Source organism: Homo sapiens, chromosome 1 (assembly GCF_000001405.40).
Source record: "Homo sapiens chromosome 1, GRCh38.p14 Primary Assembly".
NCBI lineage: Eukaryota > Metazoa > Chordata > Mammalia > Primates > Hominidae > Homo > Homo sapiens.
In genome coordinates this window covers 82,127,399-82,137,928 of record NC_000001.11, presented here as the reverse complement: position 1 = coordinate 82,137,928, position 10,530 = coordinate 82,127,399, and the positions used below count along the sequence as shown (strand labels likewise).

Sequence of the window (10,530 nt, the reverse complement as noted above, 5' to 3'; positions counted from 1 at the left end):
TTGGTTTCAAATAGAGCTAGGGGCCAGAGGAGAGTAAGAGATTGTTTATTATGTCCTGTAATATTAAGACAAGTTTTCATACCTTGTGAAACTAGATGTAGACTAACATTTATTAAATTTCTATACCAGTCTTCAAAATCCTCCAGAATAGGACACGGAAGATACATTCTGAGTAATCTATTTCACTAATTAGCATACAAATATTTCTACATATTTGTGACTTCCAATGTCCATAAACAGGAAAAATAATTAGAAAGTTCATTATACATCTTTTAGTTTATATTTCTATTTCAGAGAAACATAGTAAAAAATATTATGCACATAGAATTTTCTTTGTAAAAGTATTAGCTGTACTGGCTCCTGGCAGAAAAGAATAAAATGTAAAAATTCTTGTTTACAGATATGCCGTAGTCTGAACCTTTGTGTTCCCCCAAAATTTGTATGTTGAAACTTAATCCTCAATGTAGTAATATTAAGAGGTAGAACTTTGGAAGGTGATTAGGTAGTGAGGGCCCCACCTACAGGAATGGAATTAGTGCCCTTATAAGTGGTCTAGGGGAACTTGTTTGGGTCTTGTACCATGTGAAGACAACAAGACGCCATCTTTGAAGCAGAGAGCAGGCTATCAGCAGACACCAAATCTGCTGACGCTTTACTCGTGAACTTGCCAGCCTCTCGAATTATGAGAAACAACAAATGTCTGTTGTTTATAAATTACCTGGGCTAAGGTATTTTGTTATAGCTGCCCAAACTAAGGTGGAATTTAAATCCAGCTTTCTGATATGTGATTCATTAATCATACTGAAGAAAATCCTCTCAGTAAAAAAGACACCACGTTTTTAACAAATATTGTTGGAAATATGTAGTAAATCTTTGGCCATCTTCCTATATTTTAAAGATTTTTTTTCTTTTTTTGAGATAGAGTAAAAATGGGTGGGTTGTAAATCTTTATATTGTAACAAGTACATTCTGATATGATTATTCAACCACTAGAAAAATATTTTCACTCTTTAGGTTAAATAATAAAACTACCTTTCGGAGCGACGCAGAAGACGGGTGATTTCTGCATTTCCATCTGAGGTACCGGGTCCATCTCACTAGGGAGTGCCAGACAGTGGGCCCAGGTCAGTGGGTGCGCGCACCGTGCGCGAGCCGAAGCAGGGCGAGGCATTGCCTCACTTGGGAAGCGCAAGGGGTCAGGGACTTCCCTTTCCGAGTCAAAGAAAGGGGTGACGGACAGCACCTGGAAAATCGGGTCACTCCCACCCGAATACTGCGCTTTTCCGACGGGCTTAAAAAACGGCGCACCACGAGATTATACCCCGCACCTGGCTCGGAGGTTCCTACGCCCCCGGAGTCTCGCTGATTGCTAGCACAGCAGTCTGAGATCAAACTGCAAGGAGGCAACGAGGCTGGGGGAGGGGCGCCCGCCATTGCCCAGGCTTGATTAGGTAAACAAAGCAGCCTGGAAGCTCGAACTGGGTGGAGCCCACCACAGCTCAAGGAGGCCTGCCTGCCTCTGTAGGCTCCACCTCTGGGGGCAGGGCACAGACAAACAAAAAGACAGCAGTAACTTCTGCAGACTTAAACATCCCTGTCTGACAGCTTTGAAGAGAGCAGTGGTTCTCCCAGCACGCAGCTGGAGATCTGAGAACGGGCAGACTGCCTCCTCAAGTGGGTCCCTGACCCCTGACCCCCGAGCCGCCTAACTGGGAGGCACCCCCCAGCAGGGGCACACTGACACCTCACACGGCAGGGTATTCCAACAGACCTGCAGCTGAGGGTCCTGTCTGTTAGAAGGAAAACTAACAAACAGAAAGGACATCCACACCAAAAACCCATCTGTACATCACCATCATCAAAGACCAAAAGTAGACAAAACCACAAAGATGGGGAAAAAACTGAACAGAAAAACTGGAAACTAAAAACCAGAGCGCCTCTCCTCCTCCAAAGGAACGCAGTTCCTCACCAGCGACGGAACAAAGCTGGATGGAGAATGACTTTGACGAGCTGAGAGAAGAAGGCTTCAGACGATCAAATTACTCTTGAGCTACGGGAGGACATTCAAACCAAAGGCAAAGAAGTTGAAAACTTTGAAAAAAATTTAGAAGAATGTATAACTAGAATAACCAATACAGAGAAGTGCTTAAAGGAGCTGATGGAACTGAAAACCAAGGCTCGAGAACTATGTGAAGAATGCAGAAGCCTCAGGAGCCGATGCGATCAACTGGAAGAAAGGGTATCAGCAATGGAAGATGAAATGAATGAAATGAAGCGAGAAGGGAAATTTAGAGAAAAAAGAATAAAAAGAAATGAGCAAAGCCTCCAAGAAATATGGGACTATGTGAAAAGACCAAATCTACATCTGATTGGTGTACCTGAAAGTGAAGGGGAGAATGGAACCAACTTGGAAAGCATGCTGCAGAATGTTGTCCAGGAGAACTTCCCCAATCTAGCAAGGCAAGCCAACATTCAGATTCAGGAAATACAGAGAACGCCACAAAGATACTCCTCGAGAAGAGCAACTCCAAGACACATAATTGTCAGATTCACCAAAGTTGAAATGAAGGAAAAAATGTTAAGGGCAGCCAGAGAGAAAGGTCGGGTTACCCTCAAAGGGAAGCCCATCAGACTAACAGTGGATCTCTCGGCAGAAACCCTACAAGCCAGAAGAGGGGGGGGGGCCAATATTCAACATTCTTAAAGAAAATAATTTTCAACCCAGAATTTCATATCCAGCCAAACTAAGCTTCATAAGTGAAGGAGAAATAAAATACTTTACAGACAAGCAAATGCTGAGAGATTTTGTCACCACCAGGCCTGCCCTAAAAGAGCTCCTGAAGGAAGCACAAAATATGGAAAGGAACAACCGGTACCAGCCGCTGCAAAATCATGCCAAAATGTAAAGACCATCGAGACTAGGAAGAAACTGCATCAACTAACGAGCAAAATAACCAGCTAACATCATAATGACAGGATCAAATTCACACATAACAATATTAACTTTAAATGTAAATGGACTAAATGCTCCAATTAAAAGACACAGACTGGCAAATTGGATAAAGAGTCAAGACCCATCAGTGTGCTGTATTCAGGAAACCCATCTCACGTGCAGAGACACACATAGGCTCAAAATAAAAGGATAGAGGAAGATCTACCAAGCAAATGGAAAACAAAAAAAGGCAGAGGTTGCAATCCTAGTCTCGGATAAAACAGACTTTAAACCAACAAAGATCAAAAGAGACAAAGAAGGCCATTACATAATGGTAAAGGGATCAATTCAACAAGAAGAGCTAACTATCCTAAATATATATGCACCCAATACAGGAGCACCCAGATTCATAAAGCAAGTCCTGAGTGACCTACAAAGAGACTTAGACTCCCACACATTAATAATGGGAGACTTTAACACCCCACTGTCAACATTAGACAGATCAAGGAGACAGAAAGTCAACAAGGATACCCAGGAATTGAACTCAGCTCTGCACCAAGCGGACCTAATAGACATCTACAGAACTCTCCACCCCAAATCAACAGAATATACATTTTTTTCAGCACCACACCATACCTATTCCAAAATTGACCACATACTTGGAAGTAAAGCTCTCCTCAGCAAATGTAAAATAACAGAAATTATAACAAACTATCTCTCAGACCACAGTGCAATCAAACTAGAACTCAGGATTAAGAATCTCACTCAAAACCACTCAACTACATGGAAACTGAACAACATGCTCCTGAATGACTACTGGGTGCATAACGAAATGAAGGCAGAAATAAAGATGTTCTTTGAAACCAACGAGAACAAAGACACAACATACCAGAATCTCTGGGACGCATTCAAAGCAGTGTGTAGAGGGAAATTTATAGCACTAAATGTCCACAAGAGAAAGCAGGAAAGATCCAAAATTGACACCCTAACATCACAATTAAAAGATCTAGAAAAGCAAGAGAAAACACATTCAAAAGCTAGCAGAAGGCAAGAAATAACTAAAATCAGAGCAGAACTGAAGGAAATAGAGACACAAAAAACCCTCCAGAAAATTAATGAATCCAGGAGCTGGTTTTTTGAAAGGATCAACAAAATTGATAGACCGCTAGCAAGACTAATAAAGAAAAAAAGAGAGAAGAATCAAATAGACACAATAAAAAATGATAAAGGGGATATCACCACCGATCCCACAGAAATACAAACTACCATCAGAGAATACTACAAACGCCTCTACGCAAATAAACTAGAAAATCTAGAAGAAATGGATAAATTCCTCAACACATACACCCTCCCAAGACTAAACCAGGAAGAAGTTGAATCTCTGAATAGACCAATAACAGGATCTGAAATTGTGGCAATAATCAATAGCTTACCAACCAAAAAGAGTCCAGGACCAGATGGATTCACAGCCGAATTCTACCAGGCTCCTCTACAAGGAGGAACTGGTACCATTCCTTCTGAAACTATTCCAATCAATAGAAAAAGAGGGAATCCTCCCTAACTCATTTTATGAGGCCAGCATCATTCTGATACCAAAGCCGGGCAGAGACACAACCAAAAAAGAGAATTTTAGACCAATATCCTTGATGAACATTGATGCAAAAATCCTCAATAAAATACTGGCAAACCGAATCCAGCAGCACATCAAAAAGCTTACCCACCATGATCAAGTGGGCTTCATCCCTGGGATGCAAGGCTGGTTCAATATACGCAAATCAATAAATGTAATCCAGCTTATAAACAGAGCCAAAGACAAAAACCACATGATTATCTCAATAGATGCAGAAAAAGACTTTGACAAAATTCAACAACCCTTCATGCTAAAAACTCTCAATAAATTACGTATTGATGGGACGTATTTCAAAATAATAAGAGCTATCTATGACAAACCCACAGCCAATATCATACTGAATGGGCAAAAACTGGAAGCATTCCCTTTGAAAACTGGCACAAGACAGGGATGCCCTCTCTCACCACTCCTATTCAACATAGTGTTGGAAGTTCTGGCCAGGGCAATTAGGCAGGAGAAGGAAATAAAGGGTATTCAATTAGGAAAAGAGGAAGTCAAATTGTCCCTGTTTGCAGATGACATGGTTGTATATCTAGAAAACCCCATTGTCTCAGCCCAAAATCTCCTTAAGCTGATAAGCACCTTCAGCAAAGTCTCAGGATACAAAATCAATGTACAAAAATCACAAGCATTCTTATACACCAACAACAGACAAACAGAGAGCCAAATCATGAGTGAACTCCCATTCACAATTGCTTCAAAGAGAATAAAATACCTAGGAATCCAACTTACAGGGGATGTGAAGGACCTCTTCAAGGAGAACTACAAACCACTGCTCAAGGAAATAAAAGAGGATACAAACAAATGGAAGAACATTCCATGCTCATGGGTAGGAAGAATCAATATCGTGAAAATGGCCATACTGCCCAAGCTAATTTACAGATTCAATGCCATCCCCAACAAGCTACCAATGACTTTCTTCACAGAATTGGAAAAAACTACTTTAAAGTTCATATGGAACCAAAAAAGAGCCCGCATCGCCAAGTCAATCCTAAGCCAAAAGAACAAAGCTGGAGGCATCACACTACCTGACTTCAAACTATACTACAAGGCTACAGTAACCAAAACAGCATGGTACTGGTACCAAAACAGAGATATAGATCAATGGAACAGAACAGAGCCCTCAGAAATAACACTGCATATCTACAACTATCTGATCTTTGACAAACCTGAGAAAAACAAGCAATGGGGAAAGGATTCCCTATTTAATAAATGGTGCTGGGAAAACTGGTTAGCCATATGTAGAAAGCTGAAACTGGATCCCTTCCTTACACCTTATACAAAAATCAATTCAAGATGGATTAAAGACTTAAATGTTAGACCTAAAACCATAAAAACCCTAGAAGAAAACCTAGGCATTACCATTCAGGACATAGGCATGGGCAAGGACTTCATGTCTAAAACACCAAAAGCAATGGCAACAAAAGACAAAATTGACAAATGGGATCTAATTAAACTAAAGAGCTTCTGTACAGCAAAAGAAACTACCATCAGAGTGAACAGGCAACCTACAAAATGGGAGAAAATTTTCACAACCTACTCATCTGACAAAGGGCTAATATCCAGAATCTACAATGAACTCAAACAAATTTACAAGAAAAAAACAAACAACCCCATCAAAAAGTGGGCAAAGGACATGAACAGACACTTCTCAAAAGAAGACATTTATGCAGCCAAAAAACACATGAAAAAATGCTCATCATCACTGGCCATCAGAGAAATGCAAATCAAAACCACATTGAGATACCATCTCACACCAGTTAGAATGGCAATCATTAAAAAGTCAGGAAACAACAGGTGCTGGAGAGGATGTGGAGAAATAGGAACACTTTTACACTGTTGGTGGGACTGTAAACTAGTTCAACCATTGTGGAAGTCAGTGTGGTGATTCCTCAGGGATCTAGAACTGGAAATACCATTTGACCCAGCCATTCCATTACTGGGTATATACCCAAAGGACTATAAATCATGCTGCTATAAAGACACATGCACACGTATGTTTATTGCGGCACTATTCACGATAGCAAAGACTTGGAACCAACCCAAATGTCCAACAATGATAGACTGGATTAAGAAAATGTGGCACATATACACCATGGAATACTATGCAGCCATAAAAAATGATGATTTCATGTCCTTTGTAGGGACATGGATGAAATTGGAAATCATCATTCTCAGTAAACTATCACAAGAACAAAAAACCAAACACCGCATATTCTCACTCATAGGTGGGAATTGAACAATGAGATCACATGGACACAGGAAGGGGAATATCACACTCTGGGGACTGTTGTGGGGTGGCGGGAAGGGGGAGGGATAGCATTGGGAGATATACCTAATGCTAGATGACGAGTTAGTGGGTGCAGCGCACCAGCATGTCACATGTATACATATGTAACTAACCTGCACAATGTGCACATGTACCCTAAAACTTAAAAGTATAATAATAATAATAATAATAAAATAAAAAAAATAAAATAAAACTACCTTTCAAGGTGCAATATGATCCATCATTCCAATACGGCCCAAAAAAAGTGAATTCATAGTTCTCACCATTTAATAGAAGAGAAATCTAAATAAGTAGAAAAGTATTTGACTAAGATCTGAGAAGAAATAAACAGAAGAATATGGACTTGGCTACTCAATGTCTTGGAGAAGGCTGCAAAAGAAATAAATCTAAAAAATGCAGAATAATTCAAATAAAACAAAAGCTTCTTTTTCACATAAACAACTAAGGCAGATGTTCCTAATTGGCAGGTGACCCTCCATGTAGTAACTCAGGGACTCAGATTCCTTCCAACTGTGGCTCAGCCATCCCCTAGTACCTAGTCATGGTCTGTGAAAATGGGCATACGTTCTTCTGAAAAGCATTGGTCCAGAAATGGTACACATCACATCTACCACTTTCATGTTCCTCTGGCTGCAACTCAAACATAGAGCTATACATCAGAACAAAGGAGGTTGGAAAAGATAATCTAGCACAGGAAAAATAAGAAGTATCTAATGAAAAGCTAACAGTCTTTCCCACACTTTGCATATCCTATTACACTCAATCCAGGGTTGAGAGAGTTCAGAAGTAGAGAATTTCTCAAAAAAGAGAATTTCCAAGGAGACTTCTATATAATCTTTTTTGAAATATGTTCCATATTCTAGAATGTTCCAAGCAATCACTTAGTTTTTGTACAATAATACCATGTAGGATAACTAGGATCAAATGTATATTCTCTTTCTCCATGCAAATAGTTAAGCCTTTTATTTTGTACAATTTCTGCCGCAGTTCTCTATTTTGCCAGAGTCACAGCGCTTCACAATCAAGGGAATTAGAAATGTTATTTAAAAGTTATTTGACCCATTGTCTTACATTCAGGAAGGTCAAAGCCTACACCATTCCATTTAAATGAAAACACTTTTTCAAAGATGTGCAAAGGAGATTCCAGCAAGTCTTTGTATGCCCAGCAACCTTCACTGTCAGGAAATTATTTCATGTTTCTAATTTAAATTTGTTATCTTATAGCTTAAGCCCAGTTCCTTTTGGATTTTTCTTAGACACAGAAAACAGATGTTCTTTTATCCTTAGTGTATTACACATTCCCACATTTTTACATTTAACCTTGTCCTTAGCATACTGAATAATCCTAGAACATTTCCCCCACAGGTCCTATACTCAAATCATGTAATTATATTGATGGCCCTCCTTAAAAATCTCTCCAACTTTCCTCTGTCCCTTTTAAGTTGTGATGATCCAGAAGAAGATCTTCACAACTTAGCCCATTTTTATAAGTACCTGTTCTATAAGAGTACAATATAGAAGGAAGATACATATAATTCCCAAGACAATTATATTCTATCAACATAAAAAAATCTCCTCACTATATTTTGCCTTTTTCCTGCCTGTTACTACTTTCACATTTGTCATCCCCTCAGGCAGAAGTCATGGCTCACAGTCCACATTTCCAGTTACAGAACTGGCACAGCCACCTACTCCCTTCTCAACACATCTTTATCTCAGAAGTCAACATGTTTCCCCATAAATGCTGGGAATCTTTCACACGTCCATAACCAAGACACTTAAAATAGTTCACTTTCAAACAGCCCCTTTTAGAAGCCCCTATTACTTTTAACGGCAAAAAACAATTACTTTTGAACCAACCTAATAGTTTGCAAGATTCTACCATGTTTATCCTCACTGATTCTTCACAACAGTCCTATGAGGTTGTGAAGATGTGTTGTGAAGAAGACCTATGTGTTCATTTGAAAGACAAAAAACCCCAGGACTAGAGGCTACGTAGATTGTCTAATATCACATAAGGAGGGTGACAGCTGTGAGTCACTAACTCAGATTATCTGATTCCAAACCTCATGTTTTTGCTGAATATCATAAAGGGGAAAAAATTTCTTTCCATGTTTTACATTTTAGAAACCTAACACAAATAAATAATATAACTTTTGAAAATAAAAGGATGTCATGCAAGTTACACCAATATAAAGTATCTAATTACAAGGGTATTTCATATTATTAAGTAAGGGCGATAAAATATAACTTCACTTTCTGAAGAGTGATTTTCATTCAATGATTTCATGAAATACTGGCTGTGACCATGTGTCGATAGAAGTGTGACTCTGTATTCCAAACAAGGACAAGGTTCTTGGTACAAAGCAAATAATTAAAGTGCATCTGGGAGAAGCATCATTAGTCACTGTGCTTCTGTAATTATTTGTGGAGTGTAACAGCTCTCTCTCCAAAACTCAACCCCACCATTCACTTGTCCATGAGAAGAAAATGCCACTTGTGTGTGTATCTATCACCCTCAATAAAGACAACAAACGTTTCTAACTGTATGCATATTTTCTTAAATTTAGGTATTTACAATTTTTTGCGTATCTTCAGAAAAATCTGTTAAGGGGAAATTAAAAGACATTTTCTGAGACTCTGAAAACAATATTTGTTAACTGAAACTTCCAGGGCAACCAAATTCATTTTATTCATATATTTGGCTTAGAAAATGAAGTTTATTCAGTGGGAAATTTTCAGGTGTTTGTCCCCAACTTCTCAGTATTTCCCGGTAATGCGATTATTATACATTAACCTTCTACCAAGTGAAAATAATGGCAATTAAAATAGACTAAATCTCAGTCATCTGTATTCATATGTGTTTTCGTTGACTGCTTTAAGAGTCAGGACACACATGATTATCAAAGATCCTCTCATTACCCATTTGGTTTAATAAAATTCTTTTTGGAAAGTTTCTGATATCAAGTAGATATTATGAATACATATTTCCTTTTTATCACTTTATTAAAAGATTTTCAACCATGAAGTTTCCTCTCCAGGGATACAGTGGACTTCAAAACTTCAAAAACTTTAATAGATTTTAGTTTTCTTAGGTATACTCTGGGCAATGTATGTTTTAATTATGTTTATGTAATTTATCTAAAAATTCTTGCTTGGAAATTAGTCTATAAATACGTACTATATATGCAGTATTCATTTTTAATCTAATTGGATGGCAAACTTATTAGCCTACAACAGAGACATTTAATTTTGCAACAAAATTCTACATTCCTATTCTGAATTGTTTAGTTTATGTAGCTTTTGCATTAATTAAAAGTGACTTGGAAGTGAGTCCACGATACGATGAATTATAAATTTATGGGTTTTTAAATTTTCACACAAACCAGAAACTTACAAACGATACTTTTACCAATATTCTGTTATCACATTATTGCTTTATCTACCACTTTTTATTTAATTAAAATAATGCAATATTGTGATTTTAATAATTGTTTAAAATTTTTATTGGTTATTTGTCTTTCAAGTGTTAATGTTATTTATTTTGATACAAACTATCCATTCCCTATGCTAAAAACATGCAGAAGCTCCTATAAGCAAGTTTAAAATTCAAATGCAATGTTTCATGTTAGCAGTTAAAGAATGAGATAAATCACTACTATTCAGTCTCAGTTTGAT

At 38.1% G+C, this 10,530-nt stretch overlaps 2 annotated features.

The window, feature by feature from the left end:
* Positions 653–1,166: an enhancer, noted in NCBI's record as "OCT4-NANOG-H3K27ac-H3K4me1 hESC enhancer chr1:82602447-82602960 (GRCh37/hg19 assembly coordinates)". NCBI's record gives its function as "activates a minimal SCP1, AML or CMV promoter by ChIP-STARR-seq in primed H9 embryonic stem cells {active_cell/tissue: H9 hESC(primed)}" and the evidence as "EXISTENCE:reporter gene assay evidence [ECO:0000049][PMID:30033119]".
* Positions 1,167–1,681: an enhancer, noted in NCBI's record as "OCT4-NANOG-H3K27ac-H3K4me1 hESC enhancer chr1:82601932-82602446 (GRCh37/hg19 assembly coordinates)". NCBI's record gives its function as "activates a minimal SCP1, AML or CMV promoter by ChIP-STARR-seq in naive and primed H9 embryonic stem cells {active_cell/tissue: H9 hESC(naive and primed)}" and the evidence as "EXISTENCE:reporter gene assay evidence [ECO:0000049][PMID:30033119]".